Source organism: Homo sapiens, chromosome 10 (genome assembly GCF_000001405.40).
Source record: "Homo sapiens chromosome 10, GRCh38.p14 Primary Assembly".
In the NCBI taxonomy this organism is placed as follows: domain Eukaryota; kingdom Metazoa; phylum Chordata; class Mammalia; order Primates; family Hominidae; genus Homo; species Homo sapiens.
Genome location: NC_000010.11, coordinates 71,628,617 through 71,654,268, shown reverse-complemented (window position 1 = coordinate 71,654,268; position 25,652 = coordinate 71,628,617). Strand labels below are relative to the sequence as shown.

Below are 25,652 nucleotides of genomic sequence, written 5' to 3'. Positions count from 1 at the left end.
GGCCTCTGTTCAGAAATTATCAGAATTTCAAGATGGTGACAGCAGAGCATTCCACCAAGTTTGGGGCCCTTCCGAGTCCATGTCCCCAGACCACCGCACAGGTCGCACACCTGGCAGCAACTATCGTCTGCGTCCCTCCGAAGAGGCTTGGTTCTCACCTGCAAGCTTGTTTAACCTTTCTCTGTGTTCTGTTCCTTGAGGCTAGACTCAGTGTGTTGGCTTCCCGGGGTTGAGCACAGACAAAAACTCAACCAACGCACCAACTGAGAGGACCCAGAGTCTAGGGAAGTCACAGCCAAAGGCAGAAAATCTAGGAACCAAGAGACCCAAGCTTAAATACCAATGCTCTCTGAAGTTCCACCGACTCCCAGATAAGACACCTGCCATTTACCCAGTGCCTTCTAATACACAAAGTGCTTTAAATGCCCCGTCTCTCTTCATTGTGGGATAAGTATTATTATTATTCTCTCTACAGCACACTCTGGAGACTGAGGGTCAGGACACAGCTAAGCACCTGCCCAGGGCCATAGAGACAGCAGGCAGCAGAGCCAGAATTTGAAGCTGGGTTTCTGGTTCCAAAGCCTTGCTCCTATAGCAAGGTTCCCTCCTGCAGTAGTAGATAGATACAGCTGAGAGGCTTCCACAGATGTTGCAGAGCAACATGTCCTTCTGCTGGGGGCAGAGGGACCAGGGAGGAACTGGGGTTTGCCCCAGGGAGCACCAAGACTAAGACAGGCAGTGAACTGGCTTTCCTGGATCATCTGGCTGGGCTATTAGGTTTCCAGCACCTTGAGTAGAACCCATGTTAGAGTTCTTGGATTCAGCAGCATGGAGGGACAGGGGTGATCTCTGAGCCTGAAGGCTGGGGGTGTCCTGACAGTTACAGAGCAGAGGGAGAGGCCCTGTGGCCTTACAGCTGGTGGAACAGGCCTGCTGCATTTGAAGTCCTCCAGGATTGAAGCTTGCCTTCAACACGGCCAGCCCAGGGCAATGACATCATACCCACCTTTTCCTTGTGGGGTCAATGCTGTGGGTGGGAGGGGAAGGAGAGATGGGGACAAACAGCAATGGGGCTGACATTGATGCAGCAGGGCTGTCTGCTGATGTGGCAGGAGAGGGAGGCTGGGCTGGACCAGGAGGAAAAGCCAGTTAGCTCTAGGAGGGGGAAGTGAAGTCCTGGGGAATCTTCCTGAGACTTCCAGATGGGAGCTGAGAGAGGAGGGGTAGGGCAGGAGACGGGCTCTAGAGGCCAGTGGGTGGGTGGGGACCCTTGCAGGGTGGGTGGCACGTTCATGTTGCTGGGCATGAAACTAAACAGCAAGAATGGCTCCCCTTTCTCCTTGGACAGTGCAAATTGGAATTAAAGCCTCACCAACCCAGAAGGCCCTGAACCAGCCCCTGGCCCAGTCATCTCACTGGGACCCAGAGGTTCAGTGACTGGCCAAGGTCACATGGCTGCCTGAGGCAGGGCCACAGCTCTGAGGGTGGTGTCCTTGCCCAGGGCCCGTGCTCCCTGGAGGCTCAGCCAGGAGGCCAGGCATGACTTGCTGACATTTCCAGCGTGTGTTCCTAGCCAGCCTCTGTGCTGTGTCTTCATGAATCATTTCATTTGATTCTCACAACAATCCTCCAAGGTAGGCTCCTAGCAGGTTATCTCCCCCAGCTCACAGAAGAGGAAACTGAGGCCCGGTGTCTTGTCCAGGGTCCACTGCGGCAGAGCTGGGCTTGTCCACAGGCCGAAGGGCTGGTGGGCAGCCAGGTGAGACCCTGAAGGCCAGTGATGAAAATACCCACTCCTGCCATCTGTAAATCTTACCTGTTTACACCACATCACTGCAATGGGTCTCCCAACAACCCAGCACTGCAGGCTGCGCAGGCACTACTTTCCCATTTCATAGGAAAAAAGCCAAGTCCCAGAGAAGGAGTGACCAGCTCATAGTAAGACAGGATTGCAGGGACTCCCTGGATGTCTTGTGGCCCTGCCCAAGATGCTGCCAGCCTCCCAAGGACAGGCTGGGAAGAGGGGGCAGGGAGATGAGAGAGGAGCAGGCTTTTAGGCCACCTCCAGCCAGCCCTGTCTGTCTGGAGCTGAGAGGTGGAGCTCTACCCACGGCTCAGCAAACCACAAGCTGGTCCTGGGGCCCCACACCTGCCCAGTCAGGACTTTTCAGGGCCTCTCCTTTCTTGGCTTCCTCCGACTGGGGAAGAAGCCTGTCTTGTCTGAAGTCCATCTTCTGCCCATTTCTGCCATGCCCCACCCCCTGCAGCAGGGATAGAAGGCCTTGGAGCTCAGTAAGCCCTGCGCCAGGGGGGCTGCCACCCTTCCTCAGCACTTCGCCTCTCCCACTGCCCAGAGGACATGGAGCTAATAAATAGAGGGACACGTGCCCCATGCTGCAAGAGGCCAAGCTGGCTCCTCACACATCCTAGGTACCACCTCTGCCAACTGTTTCCCAAACGCCTGCCACCGTCACAAGGATGGAACAGGCAAGGGGGTATGGATGGTTTGATATAGGCCTTCCCCACTATCAGAACAGCATCCCAAAGGGCATATTGTGGGGAGTATCAATTTGGGAAGAAGAGAAACAGCCAAGCCTCTTGTGCTTCAAAGGAGCAGGACCCCACTTCCCCACACATCACACACGTCCTCACTGTACTCCAGCCACGGGGCCTTTGCACATGCTGTTCTCTCCTCCAGTGGTTTTTTTTTTTTTTGAGATAGGGTCTCACTCTGTTGCACAGGCTGGAGTGCAGTGGCTCACGGCTCACTGGAGTGCAGTGGATCACGGCTCACTGAAGTCTCAACTTCCTGGGCTCAAGTGACATTCTCACCTCAGCCTCTACAGTAGCTGGAACTAAAGGTGTATGCCACCACAGCTGGCATTTTTTTTTTTTTTTTTTTGCAGAGACAGGGTTTTGCCATGTTGCCCAGGCTGATCTTGAACTCCTAGGCGCAAGTGATCCAGTTGCCTTGGCCTCCCAAAGTGTTGGGATTCCAGGCATGAGCCACTGCTCCCAGCCTCTTTTCTCCAATGTTATTCCCTGTCTGCCTTCACCAGTTAATGCTTACTCAAATGCCACTTCCTCAGGGAAGCTTTCCTGGACCCCAGGCAAGGTCAGGTACCCTATTAGAGGTTCGCGTACTCCCTGATCTCTCCATCACAGCAAGTAATACTCAGTGTGAAGATTCATTTCGTAGTTAGTCCAGTTTTCCTGGAAGACTATAAACTTTATAAGTACAAGACTCACATCACCATGTGTCCTCAGGGCCATGTGCCTAGCACACAGCAGGTATTCACCAAACGTTTGTTGAATCAATGAATGAATGAATAAATGATTAGGTTACTCTTGTACTTCTTGTACTGTCCAGTGGTGCCCACAAACCCTGCCAGGCCCCAGACACTGGCCAGGCTGCAGGGCTGCCCCAAGCCTAGCAGGGTCCCAGGATAAGACACTCCCTGGCCTTCTCATCTGATTTCAATTGCCAGGTCAGGAGGCAGGACTGGAAGGTGTGAATCACAGAGCAGCCTGGGATATGAGAGGGAATAAACCACACAGCCTAGAGGATGGGGAGCCACCAGCATCATCCATGCATCGGTACAGGCACATACATGTACACACACGTGTGCACATGAGACTTGTGCATATAGTGTACGCACATCCCCAAATGCATGTAGTCGTAACATGTACGTGCACAGGCACACATGCACACACACATGTATATTACATACACATACCTCTGAGTATACATAGCTGCAAACACATGTACATGCACAGGCACAAAAAAACATGCCTGCCTACACACACCCCCATACACATCCCACAAGCATACCTCACATGCCTGCGCACATATACACATATGCACCCCCGCACATCCTTCCTCTGTGTGATCACCCTTCAGAGCACATTCATCCTGAACCCTCCCTCCTTCCAGGGGACCTTTCCTCACAGAGACAGCTCTGGGCTGCCTTGGTATTCCTGCTTCCCTGAGCAAAGTGCTCGAATATCTCTGAAATGGTTTCTCCATCAGTGAAAACACTCACACAGCTCTGTCCCTGGAGCAGCTTAGGGCTCAGAGATGTGAAAATTCACCTGGTGGTGCCACAGGCCCTAAAAGTCTTGAGCGCCACCTAAGAACACACCACCTGGAGCGACCCTGGGACCTGTCCCTGTGGATACCGCAGAGAGCACTTTCCGGCTCCTCTCTTTACCCTCAGCTCTGAAGGTTGCTGAAAGGACTAGGCTCAGTGGTCCCACATAGAACCTTCTGGATGGGTGGCCTCGTGGTTAAGAGCCTGTGGCTTGGGATATGGAGTCGCTGTGTGAATCCAGTTTAGTCACTTACTAGCCCTGGGGCCCTGAGCAAGTTACTTAACTCCCTGAGCCTCATCTGTTTCCTCATCTGTAAAGTGAGAATAACAGCGCCTACTTAACAGGTTAGAGATACAGTTGGCCCTTGAACAGCACCTGTTTGAACTGTGTGGGTTCATTTGCATACAACATTTTTTTCAACCAAATTTGGATGGAAAATACAGTACTCCATATATGCAAAACCCCTGTATACATACAGAAGGTGGACTTTTTGTATGTGTGGGTTCTGCCAGCGCTGACTGTGTGCATGAGGGTGTCCCCACTCTTTTCCTGCCACCAGTGGAAACTCATTTTGCTGTAACTGGGGGCCATAAGGTCCAGGGACCTGGGAGGTGAGAAAGTCTGGCCCTTCCACCCCTGCTAGGACACCTGGACTGGTGGTGACAGCCCTTCCTATTCCAGCTTCCCCAAGCCATGTTAAATGACCACCTTCCCCCAGGACAGGTGACCAGCCACTGAAGCAGGGCCACGCCAGGATGAGAGCTGGGGACGCTCGGCTCCTGCCTTCATTGCATATTAAAACATTTCCTTTTCTTCATAATTTTTTTCCTGACACAACTCCCCATGAAACATTTTAATAACATCCCAGAAAAGGTCACGGAGAAGGAATTTTACAGTCCCTGAGCAGGCAGCCATAATTTCAGCCCCTTTTGTGGCAGAGGAGGTGGAGAGATTGGGCTGACCCCGGGTCTGAGCAGAGAGCTGCCGGGTGAAGGAGGCCAAGAGCAGGGCAGGGCGGTGTGGAGGGTGTGGCCAGGAAACACCCTGGGGAGACTGGGAGAGGAAGGGGGGAGGGTGGGTCACCCAGGATGTTTTTATATCTCCTTTACAGGAACAGAATTCCAGTTTAGTCACTTACTAGCTCTGGGGCCCATTTTGCAGATGAGAAAATGAAGGCGCTAAGAGTGGCATGGATAGGCCAGCACGCGGGGTCCCCACCATCTCCCTGCAGGGCCTGAACTCCTTTAGGCACACGGTCCTGCTGTGAGAGCTGTTACCTGATGAAATGGGCCCTCACCTTTCATGGCTTCATAAACCCTGGGGCTGGGAGCTTGAGAAGGGGGTGGGTGAGGCTTGGATGAAGGAAGCCAGGAACCCAGGGAGGCTGGCCGGATCTGCTGGTTCCTAGCGACTCACAGAGGAGGCTGAGCTCAGGCCCAGCAGCTGCCCCAGTTCTGGATAAAAACCTAGCCTGAGGGGCTCGGCTCACATTCACCAAAGCCTGCTCCCCAGCGCCAGCCCCAAACTGGACTGGGCCTGACACAGCTGTCCTTGGCACCACCGACCAAGGGATGCCCCTTCTCATATTTCACATCTCCTCCCGGCTCTATAGGTTTTCCCCATCCCTTTCCAAGGACCATGGGAACTTGGGACTACGAAGTGAGGAAACTCTGTCCCAAGCAAGAACACCTGGAAGGAATCCCCTGACACCCACTAAGCCTGGATCTGACACTAGAATTCTTTGCCACGTGGTCCCAGACCCACAGGGGACAGAGCCTCCCCTCCACTCTGAGGCCTCTAAAGCATAGGCTGTTGGCTGCCTTTTACCCAGTCCTTCGAAGGGGGATGGTGGGTAAAGACACACACTTTGGGTCCAGAAGGCCAGAGCCTCTGGCACTTGCTCTCTGGCTGGGCACTGAGAGGCTGAAGGAAGGTCCAGGGGGCCTCAAGCGCCTGGTGATTTATTGCAGGGAGCACCTTGGTGAAAGCTGGAGGAGTCATGGGCTAGAGACGCGGGAGGTGAAGAAAACAGCTGCCGCAGAATTATTGTTTACGTCTGACAGCCTGACTGGCTAAACATCTGTTTGAAATATTAATAACTGTCAGAGGGGAAGGGCCTGGGGGCTCAGTGCAGTTTCATACCATCTGTCTGTAGAGTAAACACACTTCGGAGCGGGGTCTTGGTATCACTCTGCTTGGAGTTGGGACGGAGCAAGAAATGGAAGCAAGGACTCTGGGAGCCCCAGGTGTGCAAGGAGGAGAAAGCAATGAGTTAAACTCCGTGACATTTATTGAGCACCGACTGGGCAAGACTCTGAGCTTGTGTAGCACACATCTACCACTTGGATCTGCTTAGCATTCAATCCCTTGTCTTAGAATAGAAGCCCCTTCCCCATTCTCAGACGGTGTAATTCAGGCGGGGCTGACCCCAACCCCTGGGTCCACTAGGGGGAGTGTGATCCCTCCCCGGCATACCAGAATCACAATTGGTTCCAGGATGACACAACCAACTGGGCCGATGAGAATCTGCTGGAATTACTGCAAAAGAACTTTTCCCACTAGGGGTGATAAATTGGTAAGAAGTCAGCCTAGAGGTGCTGGTGCCCCTCTTTGCCAATACAAAAAAGCAGAGCCCAGTGTTGAAGACAGATCCCTGCTCAACTGAGTGCTTGGATGCAGCCGTGCCTGAAATCACTTGCACTTTTTTTTTTTTTGAGACAGAATCTGGCTCTGTCGCCCAGGCTGGAGGGCAGTGACACAATCTCGGCTCACTGCAACCTCCGCCTCCTGGGTTCAAGCGATTCTCCTGCCTCAGCCTCCCTAGTAGCTGGGACTACAGGCGTGTGCCACCACACCCGGCTAATTTTTGTATTTTTAGTAGAGACGGGGTTTTGCCATGTTGGCCAGGCTGGTCTCAAACTCCCGACCTCAAGTGATCCGCCCACCTCGGCTTTCTCAAGGTGTTGGATGACAGGCGTGAGCCACCGAGCCCGGCCTGAAATCACTTATACTTTTGAGTTACATGAGCCAATCCTTTTTTGCTTGAACTACTTAAGGGTTTCTGTCCCTTGCAACCAAGAGTACTGACAGATACAAATGACACTGGGAGGGCCCCTTGTCAAAGGGCAAGTCCAGCCATGGGCAGCTGGGGGTGCCCCGGTACCCTCCAGGCGCCTGCCCCTCTCTGGTGCCTGTGCTCACATGGAGAGGGTTGCCCTTCTCAAGGATGGCTGGCACCTTCCCACCCATTTGAGGGGGCTTCCAGGGCTCCCAGCCCACCCTCACTGAGTCTCTCTCGGGGAAAGGCAGAAAACCAGTGTCCTCAGCTCAGTCTCGTCACCCCTCAGGTTGGCTCCTTTTCCATATTGCAACCTAGGTCAAGGGAGCCCCTTCCTGAAGAGTCCAAAAACTTTATTTAATACACCAACAAACACAGCTCAGGGATTTGGGGGTGCCTCCTTCCCTGATTGCTGAGGTCCCTTGGACAAAATCCCTCTGGGTGCCTCACCACAGTCGGCCCTGGAGAGCTCAGTGGCCCTGCAGTGAAGCGGGGACTCACCAGGACTGTCAGCACAGAGGTCCCCACGGTGACGTTCTCGTACAGGCTGATGTTGTACAGTGGCTGGCTGAAGATGGGCCGGTTGTCATTTTCATTGATGAGAGTGATCTTCACCTTGGCATAGCCCACATGGTCAGGCACACTCTCATTGGCAAAGAGCTGGGGGTGCAGAACAGGGGCCCAGGTAAGCTCCCACATGTCCCCTCCCAGAGTCCTTGTCCCTGTAAGTCCTCTCCATGCCTTTGCCGGCCCCAGCCCAGAGCACCTGTTAGAGTCTCTGCCCATCCCAGCTCTGTGCTACTGCGAGCCCGTCTGTTATTGCTCTAGGGATGGCTGCTGATTCTGCTAGGGCAGGAGGAGCTAGCAGGGGCTGATCTGGCAGGAGATGGGTTGCAGAGGCTCCTGATGGGAGTCTGGTAAAATTCCACTCAATTACTGGACATATCCTTTTCCTCCTTGGAAAAGGGAGACTCAGCCCGGCCCCTGCCGTCTCTTGGAGGGCTTATCTGAGTCAGATCCACAAGGGAAGATGGGCAGCAGTGGAAGGTGGGATCTAAGGGAATCTTCTACCCTACCCTCGCCTCCCCTGAAATCCACCCCCCACCCCACTCCAAAATGCCAGTGAGTGGGGCCTTACATCAAAGTCGTAGCGGTCCACGGTCTCGTAGTCCAGTGGGATGGCCACCCGAATACGAATGTCCGCCTTCCCCTGGACGGAGGTCGGGGAGATGATGAAGTGGTGGGAGTTGTTCCCCACCAAGTACACCTCAAACATGCTGTTCAGGCCCTGGGTCAAGAGTGCAGAAGAAGCCAGTCAGGAAGGGCACAGTGGCCAAAGCCTAGACCCAAATGGAGGAGCAGAGGCTCCTGGAGAGTGAGCCCAGAGCTGCTTTGGTTGGGGCAATGGATGAGGCGCTGGGACAGAGCAGGGCTTTCCCAGAGCAGCTCCAAGACTCCATGACCCACCCATGTCTAGGCCCTCTGGAAACCTCCTCTGGCTCTCTTTTCCTTCCTTGTGCTGTCGGATGCCCACAGTGTCCCCTTCAGGTGGTTTGGTTCACTCTCCATTTCCTGCTCCCTTTCTCTGTCCCAGTGACCCCAGCTGCGGAGGGACCGGCCAGCTGCAAGACCCAGCGGGGAGACAGAGGAAGGAGGAGGAGAGAGGATGTGAGGGGAGTGGAGAGAAGAGAAGCAGTTAAGCGGCCATGACAGGCTTGGCCAGGAGAGGACACAAGGGATGCAGATGCTGTTCTTCCCCTCCTCCTCTGGAACGTGTCCAGCAGGGAGAACACTGGTTTGCTGACATGTGAAATGGGAATAACCCAGAGACTGAGTGGCAATGTGAATGGCCAGGGATCCCACACTGTTGCCAGTCCCGGGGGGCCCAGGATCCCAGACTGAGCACAGGGTGGCCACCCCATCACAGGTTCTGCTGTGTCCCAGAGGCCCAAGCCCATCATTTCAGGGAGGTGGGTGCCTCACTCAAGTTCAGGCATTTCTGATTATTCTAACCAGGGCTGTGGCTCACAGAGCCCCTCAGATGCTACCTGACTCTCCTCACAGAAAGCATGTGATGTGACTGAAGTCTCCAGATCATGGGGAGGAGACATGGCTGAAGGTGGGAGATTCAGCTTACTGACTCCCTGAGGTCTGGCCTGCTCAGAAAGTGATTCTACTTCCTCTTCCTGCCTGCACTTGGGGCAAGGGGATCACCTGCGCCCCCAGACTCCCCTCCAACTGGGCAGGCGGCCTGTGATGTGTAAGAGCCTCCTTCTGACCTCTCTTGCAGGTGCCCAGTAGGTCACTGACCTTGGCTTTCAGTCCAGAGGCAGAGGCTCTGGCTTATGGTGCAGAGCCCACCCCTAGCCCAGTGGCCAGCTTGGCACATGGGCCCTTTTCTCTTGAACCAGTGGCTGGCAAGGGAAGCCCACCCTCACATCTTGGTTGCTTAGGGTATGTTGTGGGACTCCTCTTAGAAACCTGTTCCTGGTGAGAGGGTGGCTGCGAGGTCACCCTGGCCCCAAAGACTCTCCGTGGTCTAAGGGGATAGTCCCTGCAAGGCTGGTTCCCATCCCGCTCAGGGCAGAGGGGGAATGATCAGGAAGTGATACCCCCAGTGAAGCCTGAGAGTTCACAAGATTCATGGGCCCCTGGGGCTGCCCCCTAAATGCTCAAAGGCACTTGTGGAATGAATGCATGCTAACGTTTACCCATCAGTCTCTTGGGTTTTTCCCATTTTAGCAAACTGGCAAATACACTTGCTGCATTTAGACTTTTCTTAAAGCCTGGAGACAGGCCTGTGCCCTGTTACTGGCACAGAGGTTTGGATGGAGAGGTGGAAGCTGAGCTCCCTAAGCCCTCTCTTGCCAATTCTGGGGTCCAGGCAAGCCGCGGGGCTCCAGAGCCCCAGCCCAAAGTGGCTCCCCAGGGGATGTGGGGGCAAGGCTCCTCTGGGCCTGTCAGGCTGTGGAGGTTGCAGCGCTCCCTGGTGTGGAATGCGTCCCGTCACATGGAAGGGACCAATTAAATGCCCGAAGGGGCACTAATAGCTGAAGCCAGTGGGGTGTGACAGTTTGAACAGGTGACACCAACTCCTCTCCTTCCCCTGAACCTTTGGTCCCTCAACCACAGGAGCTGGGGGCCTGAGAGGGTGGGGGAGGGCTGAGCTGTGCCCTTTTCAAAGCCCCTCCCCACTGTGCCCACCACAAGCCCTCCCCAAGCCCAACCCCTGCCCTTCAGAGGCTCACTTACCAAATTCTGTCAATGGGAGTCGGTCAGTCAAAGGATATGGAGACAGACAGAAGGAGCCGGAGAGGTATGGAGAGGAGGAAGGAACCAGAGAGAAAAGACAGTGAGACCCTGGGTCATGGGAGGGACCCCAGGATCACACCCTAGAGGAGCAGCTGTCCCCAGCCTCTGATGGGCCATAGCTTCTGGGGTCTGGAGGAGGCGTATTGTGTGAGTGTGCACACATGTGTGCTGGACAGTGAAGAAGAGGGACAAGCATGGGACCCAGAAGAGGCTCAACGGCATGAAGGGTGAGGAGGTGAGGGGGGGGCAAGGGCTCCTGTCTCCCTGATCTCTGTCCACTCTCACCCAGAAGGCCTCAGTGTAGGCTGGGATGGGAGGGGCCATCCCTACATCCTACATCCCTGGAGCCTGGATAAAATCCCTGCAGGAAACAACCCCAAACACCCCCATGTTTTTATTTTCCTAACATAAAAAATGTCAGAGACATGATGAGCAGAGACATGGCAAATTTTCCAGAAGTTAAAAAGTGTAAGGGGAACACACGCCTCTCCCTCTCCCCCTGAGCCCAGGTACTGACAAACCTCCCAGGGCAGCCACCACACCCCATTCCTGGGTCTCTTTCCCCAGGAAATCCATGCCTATATGACCATTATGGGTACATGCCACCCTGCTGTGACACTAACAGCATGCTATGCACATTGCTCTGTGTCCAGTCTTTTCACTTAGAACTACATCTTGGTGATTGGTCCATAACTGTGCATATAGATGATGATGCGAACGAGGACACTAACAACCTAGCACCTACTCTTGGTCAGGCACTATTCTAAACACTTTGTAAGTACCAAGTATTTGCTTTGTTTTCCTTAATGGCTGCAGAGCACTTGCATCACTGGGTTACAGTTCCCTCTGTGATTATTCTGGAATGTCAGCAGCCCCTTGAGGCTGTAGACCATGCCTCAGGTGGTGAAGATTCCCCAGCAGACCATGACACACAGTGGGTGCTCAGGGAGTGCCTGGGCTTCAGCAGCTCTTCCTTGTGTGTTACTGCTACTCCTCCCACGGGCCCCTCCAGCCCCTCCAGTGGAATTGAGTTCAGAGAGGTTGACTGAGCAGCCCATGGTTGCATAGGGAGCTGGTGGCAGAGTGGGGGATAAGAGGCCGGGCCCAGGCCGGGTGCGGTGGCTCATGCCTGTAATCCCAGCACGTCGGGAAGCGGAGGTGGGTGGATCACTTGAGGTCAGGAGTTCGAGACCAGCCTGGCCAACATGGTGAAACCCCGTCTTTACAAAAATACAAAAAAATTAGCTGGGCATGTTGATGCACGCCTGTAATCCCAGCTACTCGGGAGGCTGAGACAGGAGAATTGCTTGAAGCCGGGAGGCGGAGGTTGGAGTGAGACGAGATCATGCCATTGCACTCCAGTCTGGGCGACAGAGTGAGACATCATCTCAAAAAAAAAAAAAAAAAAAAAAAGAGGCCGGGCCAGCTTCTGGGCCAATGCACCTTCCCACAACCCTGTGCTGCTGCCCCAGCCAAGGAAGTGGAGCTCATGTCTGATGCGGGCATTCCCCATTGGCAGCACGAGTCCACAGTGTGAAATGCATTGGCCTTGCAGTCAGCAATGTTAGTTACCAGAACAAACTGAGATGTACCATCTGAGCGCTCCAGGGCCCAGTCTAAGGGGAGGACAAGCAGAGGAGGTTGCCCCAAGAAGGGGAGTTCTGAGCTGGTGTTAGGAATGAAGGAAGGTATTATTATTATTATTATTATTTAGATGGAAGCTTGCTCTGTTGCCCAGGCCAGAGTGCAGTGGTACAATCTTGGCTCACTGCAACCTCTACTTCCCAGGTTCAAGCGATTCTCACACCTCAGGCTCCCGAGTAGTTGGGACTACAGGTGCACACCACCATGCCCGGCTAATTTTTGTATTTTGTTTTTGTTTTTTGTTTTTGGTAGAGACGGGTTTTCGCCTGTTGGCCAGGCTGGTCTCAAACTCCTGACCTCAAATGATCCACCCTCCTTAGCCTCCCAAAATGCTGGGATTACAGGCATGAGCCACTGTGTCTGGTCAGAAGGTATTATTTTTGGACTCTTTTGGACTGGCAGAAAAGGGATTTCGGGTGGAGGAAGTAGCTTTAAACACAGAGTTCTTGATCCTTAGATCCTTAGCGTGTCTCAGAATCACCTGCAGATTGCTCCCCGATTCTTCTCCCTCCCCCAGGAATTCCTGATTCTGTAGGCCTGGGTTGAGGCCTGTAACTTTGCATTTCTAACCAAGTTCCAGGCGACGCTGATCCTGATCTGAAGCCACCTTTTGAGGAGCACTGTCCTAAGCAAAGGCACGGAGTGTGGAGAAGAATCATCAATGACTTATTATTTGCAAAGGGTCCATGTCGAGAAGCTTGGAGTCCCAGGCAGATGCCATCCTGAGGATGGCATTATTTCCATGAGCGAGACGGAGCCACTCTGAGCTCTGCAGCAGGGGAGAGGGAGGTGGCCTTGCAGCCACGTGCGAATCACACCGGTGCTGCCCTCCTCTCCCTAGATACACAACAGAATCACCAGTGGCGTTCTAAAAAGAAATGCAGATGCCCAGAGCCAGTGTGTCATCATCTCTGGGGGCTGGGAAAAGCTACATTTCTCTCGTGCTCCCCAGGGAACCACACTGCATAGCCAGGGTTGGGAAGACATCACTGCGGCAGGGAGAGTAGCTTGGAGGCACCTATAGGAGTCGAGAAAAAGGTGAGCAGTTGGAGAGGCAAAGAGGGGTAGTTCTCCACTGGCCACATATCAAAATTACCTGGGGAGCTTTACATAGGGTGCTGCCTATGCTGCACCCTAGACCATGGAGACCAGACTGAGGGAGGGGGTGGAAGCATAGGCATCCGCATTCTATAAAGCTCTCCAGTTATTCATTCCAAAGTGTATCCAAGGATGAGAACTACAAGGGTAAAACAGTGGTTCTCCAAGTGTGGTCCTGGGACCACAGCATCAGCATCACCTGGAGCTTGTTAGAAATGCAAAATTGGGGGCCACGCCCAGATCTTCTGAGTCAGAAACTCTGGGGATTGGGCCCAGCACCGTTTCCTTTCTTTTTCTTTTTCTTTTTTTTTCAGACAGAGTCTTGCTTGGTCGCCCAGGCTGGAGTGCAGTGGCGTGATCTCAGCTCACTGCAACCTCTGCCTCCCGAGTCCCAGTCCAAGCAATTCTCCTGCCTCAGTCTCCCGAGTAGCTGGGATTACAGGCATGCGCCACCACGCCCGGGGAATTTTTGTATTTTTAGTAGAGACGGGGTTTCACCATGGTGGTCAGGCTGGTCTCGATTTCCTGACCTCATGATCCGCCTGCCTCGGCCTCCCAAAGTGCTGGGATTACAGGCGTGAGCCACCGCTCCCGGACTGGGCCCAGTACTGTTTTAACAAGCCCTTCAGGCATTCTGATGCTCACTAATGTCTGAGAACCATCAGGATAGAGTGATGCTGGGAAGAAGCAAGACAGAACTGAAGAGCATTGGCCTGTAAGGTATAAGCAGTAAGGTATGGTGGATGAGCAGAGAAGGCTTAGGAAGAACCATGTGTCGGCTGGGGCGGCACCAATCGTGTGCAGGCTGAGGTCAACAGTGAGGGACTGAAAAGATGGTGTGAGCTCAGTGATTTTGAGCTCAAAGATGCCTGGAAGATGGTGTGAGCTCAGTGTAGCTTCTGGTTAACTACCTGGTGAGGCAGGAGCACCCAGAGGGACAAGCCTTCGGGACAGCTTCCTGACCCCTTTAGGAGAATTCTTGGGGTTTCAAATGAATGAGACTTGCTCCCTTCTCCTTGATTTGCTGCCAGGGGCTGGAAAAGCTCACGCAGGCCAGACGCTGCAGTGGTCAGGACACATGTCCTAAGACCCTCAGGATCACCTACTGACCAAGTCCTCTAAAATGCTCAGCCTGTTCCTTCCAGGACTTTACCAGCTGGCCAATTCCTGCTTGGTCTGGATTTGTGACTGTCAGCCCTCAGGATAGGGGTGTGTGTGAGAGAGAGATATTCCAGTTTGCTAAGTTGGTGCAAAACCCCTACTGATCGCAGTCCTGTGCTGCTGAGCCTTTTATGACAACAGCTTCCATTTGTGAAGCCCGGCTATGACACAGGCGTCACACACCTTAACCAGAATCCACACGATGGCCCAAAGACAGCGTCAGTCCACTCCTTTTCTTGGAGAAAGAAACTGGGGCCAGAGGGGGTAAGTGTTCAAGCCACACAGCAGCCAAGGAAGGCTTGGAACTCAAGTTTGCCCCCACCCCGCCTCGGAGTCAGAGCTCTTAACCATGCAGCTCTCCTGGCCTTCCCACTACAGAACGCTGCTCCAAGTGCGATGCCAGGAGCTGGCATAGTGAACCCCTCCCTGTGCCACACGTGGCAGAAGGAGGCCCACAAGCACCTCAGCTCAGGTCAGGGCACAAAGCCTGGACTGGTGGAGGGCACACCCACCTCCCTGCTCCTGCTAGGCCTCCTCCCTGCCCTTGTCCCACAGGGGGCTGGGGGACTGCCTTCATGGGGTGGAGATGCGGAGGAGGCTGGAGGGGCTCTTGGAGCTGCAGAGGGGCGATTTTGTTGGAAGGGAGATAAACAGAAACATCAAAAGGAGCCCTAGTGTGTGTGGAGAGGAGCCTGTGGATTAAATTCTCCTCCAGCTGAGAGAGGCGATGAGAAGGCTGATAGCGCCCACCGCGGGTCCCGGAGCCAGAGCCCAGCCACTACAGGCTGCGGAGCTGGCAGCTGCCCGCGGGGAGGCCGAGGTGACAGCTTAGCTTTATTTATTTCTTGGGAGGGGAAGGACACATGAAATCCCTCCTGGCTCCCTGCCGGTCCCTCCCCGTGTAGCTCCTGCACTTTGCTCCTAGGGCTGCAGCTTTCCCACCCCCACGAGGGCAGCGCCTTATCAGCCGGCTGCCAGGAGGGCTGCCCCGCAACTTCCCTAGACCTTGCCCCCTCCCTGCCTCCCATTCCTGGAAGTGGGGGGTAGCTTTGAGAAGGGTCAGATGAGCCACTGCTCCCTCCTAGTCTCTCTAAGGCTCCCAGAGCCAGCCGACCTGAGTCTGTCCCAGCAGACCCGGCTCCGTGTGCTGACCCAGCGTGGTTGTCCAGCTGTTTGTTGAGCTTACATGTTGGGCCCTCAACAGACATCAGCTCGTTAAATACTCCCTTGGGAGGGAGGGTCAAGGGTGATATTTCCGCTACTTAACCACCTGCATGCAGACCTTTCCCTGCCTCAGAGGGGTGGATTTCAGTCTAGGTCCTGCCTTTGGGTTGGGTGGCCTGACTTCTAAGCATGGCTTCCCTTGGTCATTCATTACCTGAGGGCTCTCAGCACTGGCGCATTCCGCTGCAGGTGGCCTGGGCCCCCAAAGGGAGGGAGGCCTGAGCCAGCCTCCAGGCTCCCTCCAGCACAACGAGGCCTGCAGATGCCTCCTTTGTCTCTCTGGCTCTTTGGCCCTCCCCATCCTGAGGCACTGCCCTGCTATTGGTGACACCAGCTTGCCTCTCCGGGATGTTTGTCTCTCTCTGCCATCAGTCAGGGTGGCCCCTGGGTTAGTGACCCAGGGGCGTGACGCAATGTTAAGAGAGCACAGTTCAACGTTGAGGAACAGGCTGGGTCACTTCCTAGCTGTGTGACTTTAGACAACTCACTTCCTCTCCTGAAGCCTCAATTTCCTCATCTGTGAAGTGGGGAGGGTAAGCACATCTCACAGAATTAAATGAAAACAGTATCATTTCTCTGCTCCCCCGTGTTTTGTAAGCATGTGAATTGTGTTTTCTTGCCTAAGCCAGGAAATTCCCTATGGCAGGGACCTTGTGTGTTCTTTTCTTTGTACCTCAAATGCTAGGGGACCGTCAACCAACCCTGTAAACTACAATGTGCCCTTGGAGGAGGTCTTAATTCCTTTTCATGGAAGAGGAAGGACCAGGGTCATGTGAAGGCAGGGTGGCCTCAGGAGCCACAGCAAGGACCAAGGCCACCTTTATGTTTGGGGTCGGGGGGTAGGGGGATGCTGGGGCAAGATAAAGGGCCAGGGCTCTTGTGAGGCACCCAGGGAGTTCTGGTTGGTGGGCTGGTGTGACACCCTCAGCCCAAGCTGGATCGGGGCTGGGAATCTGGAGTGCGGAGTGGGGCCCCCAGAGTCAGTGCTGCCCTCACCAAAACCAACCCTGTCCCCAACTCGGGTCTGCCAGGGAAGAGCCCCATGACCTGAGCTTCCAGGGTATAGAACCTTGGAAGCCACAACCTCTGGAGTTGAGCCTAGGCTCAGGCACTGCCTTTTACAGCTGTGTGATTTTTGCATACACAATTTTATATCCTTGAGCCTCAATTTCCTCATCTGTAAAATGGGAAGAATGCAGCCTATTTGATAGGGCTACTGTGGGTGAGCTGCCAAATCTTGGTCAAGCATCTGGGACGGAATAAGTGTTCAATAGAGGAGAGCTATTATTATTGTTCTAGGAGTAGTGGGGGTAGGAGAGGAGGCATCCCTGGGAAGGAGCTGATTTCTAGACCATGGCCAGAAATGAAAGGAGCAGGCAGAGAAGGGCAAAGGCTTGGGTGACGGGACCCACCAGTCCCACCCTGGGCGTGGGGCGCAGGTTTCCCTCCTTCCTCGGCTGTACTTTCTGTTGGTCTCATCCATAACATTGAGCAGTAGAAAATAAAAGCCCATCGAATACATATTCTTTATCCTTCTTTGTCCATCCTTTCACTTAATTCACCCCAATCAGACATGGCAAAGGGGACCTCGGCAGGAGGTAGGCCTCTCCTTCCACCTTCAACTCAAAGCCAGCTGCTTCTCCCTCCAACCCCTACATTAAGGGGGGTGCTAAGTCTCTCTGCCCACTGAGATGCCAGGATACAGAAGGCAGTGGAAGGAGCCTGGCAGAGGACACTGCTTCCGTTTCTGACTCCACCTCAACCCCTGGTACCCAGCAAGCCCATGTCACATGGTGGGTGGCTCTGCCCTGCTGCCTCTTTTTCCTCTGCCCTTCAGGCCTGCCCCGCCACTCATGGCTCCAGGCCTCCGTTTCTCCACTGTGGGAGTGGAGCACCTCTTGGGCCTGCATCAAGGTGAAGGACGTCACCCTCATTTCAGGCTTTCATCCTCCTACCTATGTCCCCTCCCCAAGCTCCTCTGTGGCTTGGCCCTTGAGTACCATGGGCCTGAGGTCAGGAGTCTGTTTTCTCTGGAGCTGCCCTGTATTACTACGCAACTGGGGAAGGCCCTGTTTTCCTTCTGGGCTTCTGATCTACCACATGGGAAGCTTGGATGGGGTGATTCTCTAAGGCCCGTAATGCCCATTAATGTGGTGCTCTTTCTTTTCTCTGAGACAGAGTCTCACTCTGTCACCCAGGCTGGAGTGCAGTTGATGCAAACACTGCTCACTGCAGCCTCAACCTCCTGGGCTCAAGCAATCCTCTCAAGTAGCTGGGACCACATGTGTGCACCACTATGCCCAGCGAATGCTTTTTATTTTTTGCAGAGATGGGGTCTCCCTAAGTTGCCCAGGATGGTCTTGAACTCCTGGGCTCAAGCCATCCTCCCGCCTCGGCTTCCCAAAGTGCTGGGATTACAGGTGTGAGCTACCGCACCCGGCCCACTGTGCTCTTCCAACTGCTTTCCATGACTCCAGCCCAAACTCTCTCTCCCATTCTCCTGATTCTCTCTCCTCCCCTCTCTCCTCGCCTCCTCTTGTGACTCCTTTGCTTGTTTCTCTCTTTATCTCGCCCTCATTTCTTCTCATCTGCTGGAGACAGAATGCTGGTGTCCCCTTCCCCAAAATTCATGTTGAAATACTAACCCGCAAGGAGGGCAGGGCCTTTGGGAGGTGATTAGGTCATGAGTGCAGAGTCCTCATGAAAGGGATTAGTGCCCTTATAAAAGGGACCCCAGAACAATCCTTGCCCCTCCAGCCATGTGGGGACACAGTGGGAAGCAGGCCCTCACCAGACACCACATCTACTGGGCCCTTGATCTTGCACTTCCCAGCCTCCAGAACTGAGAGAAATAAGTTTCTATGTTTACAAGCCAACCGTCAATGGTAGTTTGTTACAGCAGCCTGTGCAGACTAAGCCTCTCTTCTCTCTCTCCTCTTCCTTTCCTTCTTCTGTCCCTCTTCTCCTTTCTCTTTCCTCCCCCCTTCTTGCCCTCTCACCTTCCTCTTTCCAATCTCTCCCTCTCCAACTCCCTCCTTCCCCCTCTTGCCCTGCCTCTCTGCCCTTCCTGTACCTCTCAGCCAGCCTCCCCTCCCTCCTCTCCGCAGGTTATCTGCTGAATTCCACACACGCCTGCACAGACGGGATCAATCCGAGGCTGCCTCGCCTTCAGCTTATCTCTGCTCCAAATGATTGATTTTCCCTCTTTAAGGGTAATTTGCTGGTGAATTCCATGTATTTCAAAAACCCTTGTGAAATCTAATTCAATCCGATTGGCAGCTGGCACTTTGGGGGAAGAATACCAGAGCACCATCATTTTCACCGCGGATGTGTGTATTATCTGTCTACAGATGAAGGCACGAGGTGGGCAGGTCCTCCTCACCTGCACGTGCAGACCTTCCCCCACTCCCTCCGGTCGGCCCTGAAGCCAGCCTCCGTTCTCCTGAGAAAAGAATTATAATGTGCGTTGGTACTTGCATTAAGGCAAATGAGGGGCAGGTGCTTTTGAATTCTATTTTCCTAATCTGCAGCCCACTGACCCAGTGCACTATGGGAATCTTATACTTCCAAAGCCCAGTTATACTTTACCACCTGTCTGTACCCACTCCTGTTCCTGGGCACAGACTTCCAACTCCTGGGACCCAGCCAAGCCCATGTCACATGGTTCATAGCTCAGCCTTGCTGTGTCTTTCTCTTCTGCATTCCAGACCCTGGACCTCTAGGGACTAGAGCAGTCAGCCCAGAGGGTACTTCCTGAAACAAAGTGGGCTTAGAGGGGCTAGCCAGGAGGGTGAGGCTCCCCTCAATCACGCCCATGGGTATGGCCAAAGGGCAAGCTTTATGTGGAGATCGGGGGACACACGGTCCTTTCCAGTTCTGTAGATGGAGCAGCTGCTGCTGCTACAGCCACCTGGACTGGTAATTCATGTGCAAAGGACAGAGGGAACCACAGAGGATTTATGTGGCCTGAGTTCTTAACTCAAGGACACCATGCTCTACCCTCCAGCCTCCCACGATCCCAGGGAAGCCAGGCCATGTCCTCTTCTCCCTTCCTCCAGCATGGGCTCTGTTTGGAAGGCACCTGGCCCACGTGGAAAACTCAGCAATCCCTTCCTTGTGGCCCTGTCTTGCAACCCCAGGCAAGCCTCCCAGCCCCAGTGGCCATATTTCCAACTTCAAGGTCTGCCATTCTCATCAGAATCTGCTAATTTGAACCTCATCACTCTACCTGGCCTCAATCCCTTTCCTCACTCCAATGGCAAACTCTGCACCCAACTTTTGGCTGGGGTTGGGGCAGGGGGCTAAAGTGGGGTGTAAGTGTTTTCAGAGATGCACGGAGAAGAGTCCAAAATGCAGGGCAAAAGGATGTGTGCACCCAGGCCTGTCCCAAGCCCAGGACTGTCCTGCCCCTCCTTCTGGGGCCCCTTCTGGGGAGAATCACAGGGCCTGAGGGGCAGCACCGCAGAGAGGGAGTACTCGCTGGCCTCACCAGCCTCCTGGGTCTCCAGCCCTCTGCTTTCTGGCCAGGCCCTCTAGAGGCCTCCAGGCAGGGAGCAGGGAGGGCCAGGGTGCAGAGCTGGGAGCTGGCTCTCCCAATCTGCAGCTGCCTGGCTCTGGCTATTTCCTATGCTAAAATGATTTCCCTCTTCCCACAGAGAAATGTGTGGCCAGGCAAAGAAATCTAAATGCCTTATGGAAATCAGGAGGGGACACCGCTACAGCTGCTAATCACACCGCTTTGTATTCCACTGCCTCTCCTCCAAGAGTGAGTCTGCCTCTCCTCCAAGAGTGATTCCACCTTTCCTGCATGGTTGGGTGGCAGAGAGGGAGCTGAGAAGAGTGGAGGGGACAGGAGATGGGGAGCGAGGACTGGCGCTGGCCTGCTTTGTGACCTCGTGCAAACTGTCTGCCCTCTCTGGGTTGCCTTTCTACATCAGGGATCCCACCGTCATAGGAGGCCATAAACTTGGTGTCCTGGAACCCTGGGAGCCAAGAAGGAGCAGGTAATTTCATCTCCCTCTCCTTTCTAGTCCTCTTCCAAGGGAGCTGCCCGGTCTTGGGTCCTCTTCCCAGTGAACAAAGACATCACAAATGTCTTAAGGAATAGGTCCTGGGCTGGGACAGGGTGCTGGGCTCCGGGTAGAGGGGTGACCATCCCTGGTGACAGTCCTGTGTGTCACTCAGCTGCCCCCAGGCAGGGCTGCTCAGGCATGCAAAGGGCTCCTCCTACTTGACATATTCCCTATCTTTGGGGCGTGGGGCGTGTATGTGTATTGGCCGCATAGTTGCTATGGGTGAATGGACGAAGGGATAAAGGCATGAATGAATGAGTTGCATGTGTTTATCTGCTGTGCATGTGTGAGTGTGAGAAAAAAAATCAGAAGATAGAGACAGACACAGAGAAGGAAGGATGGTGCTAGGGTTTGAATGTCCCCCTCCAAAATTCACGTTGAAATTTAATCCTCAGTGGCAGTATTGAGAGGTGGGGCCTTTAAGAGGTGATTGGATCGTGAGGGCTCTGCACCCATGAATGGACTAATCCATTCATGGATTAGTGGATTAATGGGTTAATGGATTAATGGGTTATCCTGGGAGGGGGACTAGAGGCTTTATAAGAGGAAGAGAGACCTGAGCTACTGCATGAGCACACGTAGTAATCTCATCATGCGAGATGCCCTGCACCACCCCGTGACTCTGCAGAGAGCCCCCACCAGCAAGAGGGCCCTCACCAGATGCAGCCCCCTGACCTTGGACTTCTCAGCCTCCATAGCTGTAAGAAATAAATTTTGTTTCTTAAGTTACTCAGTTTCAGTTATTCTGTTATAAGCAACACAAAATGGACTAAGACACGTGGGAAGGCAGGTGAGAGACAGAGAGACAGGGAGAGAGGATCAGATTCAAAGACAGATTAACAGAGGGAAAGAGAGGGCATGCAAAGGTGGTGGAGGGTGTTCAGGTGAGGAGCTATACTGAGGTAAAGATGGAACCTGGCCGCTGCACAGCAGGGTGGTGGCAGATGGTGGCAGCTCCCATCTTTTTCTCCATCTAGCCCCTCCCCCAGCCTGCCCTTTTGAGCTTCTGTCACTCCCATTGCTGGAACTCTAAACTGCAGCCTCATCTCAACCTCTGCCTTTCCTATAGACCCCACATCTAAGCAGTCCTGACCCCTCGTCCAGTCCCCACCCACCGGTGCTCTCTGTCATTGCCCACTGGTACCACCCCCATTCTCCATGTGTCTAGATTAATCAACCTAAAGCATAGCTCTGAGTACATCACTTATGCTCAAGGACCATCTATGGCTCCCAATTGCCTGCTGAATTAGATTGAATCTCACAGCGGTGTTCAAGGCCCTCTAACTGGCCTTTCTAGCTGTATAGGAGGGTGCAAATTACGCACTTGCTGATTTAATGACGGTGGAGAGAAGGATGGGGCTATCTTAGTCTAGAAGCCCACCAGTGCTGCTGCTCATGCTGGTGCCTCTCACTTCATCCTTTTTGGGGGATGGGTGTGGGGGTATTCCATAATTTATAGTTTATTTTCTTAATTAACATGTTGTAAAGTTGACTTTTTTTGGTATATAGTTCTATGAATTTTAACACATGCAAAGATTCTTGTTACCTATCCCCTCCAACCAGGATACAGAACAGTCCCACTGCCCCCAGCACTTCTTTGTCCCGTCTCTTTACAGGGACTCCTCTCCCACCCCCAGCCACCTCTGACCTGTTCTCTGTTCCTATAAGTTTGTCTTTTTTGAGAATGTCATGGAATTATGCAGCACAGGGCAATAGCGAGTGGCTTCTTTCAGCACAATGCCTTTGAGATTCCTCTGATTCTCAATTCCCTTTGGTGATCTATTTATTTAAGCACAGTCTGTCCCTGTAGGACTATTTAGCATATCTGAGTGATCTGCAGAGCTAGGGAGGGGACCTCTGGCATCCCTCTTAGAAGGGTGGCCCCCTGGTGTGCAAGAGGAGGGCTCTGGAGGCAGGAGAGAGAAAAGGGCCAAGAGGATTAAGAAAAGAAAAACAAATCCTGGTAGACCTGCTCTGTAAATGTTAGCAGGTTTGGACATTCCCTAATGAGGGCTATCACAACAAGGCATCATGCCAAAAACAGAAATGGACTAAGATATGCGTGTTAATTTGCCACTACTGAAAGACATTAGGGCTGCCTCCAAGTCTTCTGAGTCCTGCCTCTGTTCCTGCACACTCCACTCCCTCCTTCGCCTCAATCTTCCTCCTGTCATCAGTGCTCCCTCTTGCTCCTCTTCCCCTTCCCTTGGGGGTGGCTCCTCAGTCATCCTCATCTCCCCTAAAGTGAAGCATCAGGGTGTCCTGGGGCTGCCCAGTCCCCAGTCTCCTTTCTGCTCTATCCACATCCCTTTCCCAAGTGAACCCAGCTAGAGCGGTGGCTTTATTTATTCATTTGTTTTAGGTAGAGTTGGGGTCTTGCTCTGTTGCCCAGGCTGGAGTGCAGTGGTGTGATCACAGTTCACTGCAGCCTAAATCTCCGGGCTGAAGCGATCCTGCTGCCTCAGCTCCCCAGCAGCTAGGACTACAAGTGTGCGCCACCATGCCTAGCTAATTTTGAATTTTTTTGTAGAGATGGGGGTCTCAGTATGTTGCCCAGGCTGGTCTCAAACTCCTGGGCTCACATAATCCTCCTGCCTTGGCCTCCCAAAGTGCTGGGATTACAGGTGTGGGCCGCCATGCCGGCCACCGGTGGCTTTAAATACAATCTGGGTGTTGGCAACACTTTCATTCCCGCCTCCAGCCTGGATCCACATGGTGGTAGATGGGGTTCTAGAGGCTCCTGAGAGCCAATGGTTGGATTTCTAGAATCTGGGAGAGCCAGCTGAGGCCACGCCAGTAGCTTGAGATCGGCCATCGAGGAGCATTGACACCACAGAGATTACTAAATGCTATGAGGCAGCCCCTCACCGAGGCCCTGGAGCTGCTCGCTAGGTATCTACCAGCACAGCCCATGTGCCTTCTTGGCGTCTCCATCTGGGTGTCTAACAAGCATGTCAAACGTAACACGCTGGAAGCTAACCTACGGATTCCATCATGCCCTCACTGAATCGACTGCTTTACCGTATCAGGAAGTAAGAACTCCATTTTTCTAACTGCTCAGGCCAAAAACCTTGTGCAGTCACTCTTAACTCCCTTCCTCCCCTCCCCATATTGGCAAATCCCATTGACTCTCCCTTCAAAACAGATCCAGCGGCTGACCGCTCCTCACCCTCCACAGGCCCCATCTGAATGACGGCAGTCACTCCTAGGAAAGGCCCCTGCCCCTCAGGGTCAATTCACCCACCCCCACCCCTGGCAGACACAGCATCCTTTAAAAAAATTTTTAGGTTGAGTGCGATGACTCACGCCAGTAATCCCAGCACTTTGGGAGGCCAAGGCAGGATGATCTTATGAGGCCAGGGGTTTGAGACCAGCTTAGGCAATGTAGTGAGGCCCCATCTCTACAAAAAGTTTAAAAATTAGCTAGGCACAGTGGCATGTGCCTGTAGTCCCAGCTACTGGGGAGGCTGGGGTGGGAGGATCACTTGAGCCCAGGAGTTCGAGGCTGCAGTGAGTTATAATTACACCACTGCACTCCAGCCTGAGTGACAGAGTGATACGTTGTCTCAAAATAAAAAATAATAATAAAATAAATGTTTAAAAAATGGAGATACAATTCATATAACATAAAGGTCATCATTTTAACCATTTGAGAGCGAACAATTCAGCATTTTTCCTACATTCACTGGGTTGTACAACCACTACTCCCTCTATCTAGCTCCAAAACATTTTTGTGTCCCCCACAAATGAAGCTTTGTGCCCATTAAGCATCACTCCCCATTTCTCTCCCCCAACCCTTGGCAACCACTAATCTGCTTCCCGTGTCTGTGGATTTGCCTCTTCTGGATGTTTCCCACACGTGAAATCATCCACCAAGTGGCCTTTTGTGTTTCCCAGGGCTATGCCTGCTGTAGCAGCTCAGTGCTTCATTCACTCCTGCAATGGCTGAATAATGGCCCACCGCATGAAGGCATCACATTCAGTTTCTCCATTCGGCAGCGGATGTACAGAAGTTGGGTGTCTTCCACTGCACCTCCTCCCGAAACTTCACTCCTGTCACATCACTGCCTGCCTGCTTCCCTTAGGCGGCTTGCCATCTCATTCCTGTGAGAGCCAAGTCCTGACCACAGCCCTGGGCCTCTCTGACCTCCCCTCCCAGCCCCTGAGCCTCCTTCTGCAGAGCCACTGCACCTGCCCTTCCCTCTGCCTGAACGTTCTTCTGCCAGATATCCACAGAGCCTGGGCCCTCTCACTTCACCCAGGCCTGTCAAGGCCTCCTCTGATGGTTCTGCCCCTCCCAGGATTCCCTTAATCCCCTTCCCTGGCTTTCTTTTTCTCCGTGGCTCTTCTCACCACCTGACATCATTTGCATCTGTTTGTTTCTTTGGTCTTCCATCCTTGGAACCTTAGCTGCCCAAGGGCTGAACTTTGTGAATCGATGCTAGAATCACATCTGACACTCAGTAGGTGTTCAACAAATATTTGTTGAATGAATGAAGGAATAAGCCAATCCCGCCTCCCACTCAACGTGCACATCCCTCAGGGCATCTCTTCCTTGTTCCTGCCAGAGGCCCGTGGGCGCCTGCTACCTGTGTGCTTCGCTAGCCACCAGGCCTCTCTTCCCACGCTCTGTGACCTTCCCTAAAACATTTCCTCTCTGAGCCTCGTTTTGCCCATGTGAAAAGAGCAAAGATATCATCCGTGTGTTGATGCTAGCACTAGTCAGAACCAGGGAGGGGAAAACGTGCTCTGCACCTTGCAACCTGGGATGTAAACCTGTGACAACTTCGATGCTGAAAATTTTATCTCAGGCCGGATGTGGTGGTTCACACCTGTAATCTCAGCACTTTGGGAGGATGAGGCAGGAGGATCACTTGAGGTCAGGAGTTCAAGACCAGCCTGGTAGACATGGTGAAACCTCATCGCTACTAAACATACAAAAATTAGCTGGGTGTGGTAATAGGTGCCTGTAATCCCAACTACTCAGGAGG

At 53.4% G+C, this 25,652-nt stretch overlaps 1 protein-coding gene across 4 annotated transcripts in view, besides 8 other annotated features; it reads right to left on the bottom strand.

Moving 5' to 3' along the window:
* The window catches only part of CDH23 (cadherin related 23), a 419,028-nt gene that overhangs the window by 161,679 nt on the left and 231,697 nt on the right, over positions 1–25,652 (bottom strand). For 3 of the 4 annotated variants that reach the window (NM_022124.6, NM_001171930.2, NM_001171931.2), the window contains exons 12-14: positions 10,403–10,408; positions 8,289–8,438; positions 7,652–7,810 (exon numbers count right to left, since the gene is read on the bottom strand). In NM_022124.6, the coding sequence (NP_071407.4) occupies positions 7,652–7,810; positions 8,289–8,438; positions 10,403–10,408 (315 nt within the window). Of the gene's footprint in view, positions 1–6,806; positions 7,811–8,288; positions 8,439–10,402; positions 10,409–25,652 lie in introns of those variants that run through there. The other variant, NM_052836.4, reaches the window with a different exon arrangement.
* Positions 9,416–9,465: an enhancer, noted in NCBI's record as "active region_3516". NCBI's record gives its function as "activates an Ori minimal core promoter by ATAC-STARR-seq in GM12878 lymphoblastoid cells {active_cell/tissue: GM12878}" and the evidence as "EXISTENCE:reporter gene assay evidence [ECO:0000049][PMID:35858748]".
* Positions 9,906–10,105: an enhancer, noted in NCBI's record as "active region_3515". NCBI's record gives its function as "activates an Ori minimal core promoter by ATAC-STARR-seq in GM12878 lymphoblastoid cells {active_cell/tissue: GM12878}" and the evidence as "EXISTENCE:reporter gene assay evidence [ECO:0000049][PMID:35858748]".
* Positions 10,907–11,551: an enhancer, noted in NCBI's record as "NANOG-H3K4me1 hESC enhancer chr10:73402475-73403119 (GRCh37/hg19 assembly coordinates)". NCBI's record gives its function as "activates a minimal SCP1, AML or CMV promoter by ChIP-STARR-seq in naive H9 embryonic stem cells {active_cell/tissue: H9 hESC(naive)}" and the evidence as "EXISTENCE:reporter gene assay evidence [ECO:0000049][PMID:30033119]".
* Positions 14,448–15,385: an enhancer, noted in NCBI's record as "NANOG-H3K4me1 hESC enhancer chr10:73398641-73399578 (GRCh37/hg19 assembly coordinates)". NCBI's record gives its function as "activates a minimal SCP1, AML or CMV promoter by ChIP-STARR-seq in naive H9 embryonic stem cells {active_cell/tissue: H9 hESC(naive)}" and the evidence as "EXISTENCE:reporter gene assay evidence [ECO:0000049][PMID:30033119]".
* Positions 15,843–16,137: an enhancer, noted in NCBI's record as "tiled region #11817; HepG2 Activating DNase unmatched - State 1:Tss". NCBI's record gives its function as "activates a minimal TATA promoter and a strong SV40 promoter by Sharpr-MPRA in HepG2 cells {active_cell/tissue: HepG2}" and the evidence as "EXISTENCE:reporter gene assay evidence [ECO:0000049][PMID:27701403]".
* Positions 20,026–20,561: an enhancer, noted in NCBI's record as "H3K4me1 hESC enhancer chr10:73393465-73394000 (GRCh37/hg19 assembly coordinates)". NCBI's record gives its function as "activates a minimal SCP1, AML or CMV promoter by ChIP-STARR-seq in primed H9 embryonic stem cells {active_cell/tissue: H9 hESC(primed)}" and the evidence as "EXISTENCE:reporter gene assay evidence [ECO:0000049][PMID:30033119]".
* Positions 20,562–21,097: an enhancer, noted in NCBI's record as "H3K4me1 hESC enhancer chr10:73392929-73393464 (GRCh37/hg19 assembly coordinates)". NCBI's record gives its function as "activates a minimal SCP1, AML or CMV promoter by ChIP-STARR-seq in primed H9 embryonic stem cells {active_cell/tissue: H9 hESC(primed)}" and the evidence as "EXISTENCE:reporter gene assay evidence [ECO:0000049][PMID:30033119]".
* Positions 22,992–23,822: an enhancer, noted in NCBI's record as "H3K4me1 hESC enhancer chr10:73390204-73391034 (GRCh37/hg19 assembly coordinates)". NCBI's record gives its function as "activates a minimal SCP1, AML or CMV promoter by ChIP-STARR-seq in naive H9 embryonic stem cells {active_cell/tissue: H9 hESC(naive)}" and the evidence as "EXISTENCE:reporter gene assay evidence [ECO:0000049][PMID:30033119]".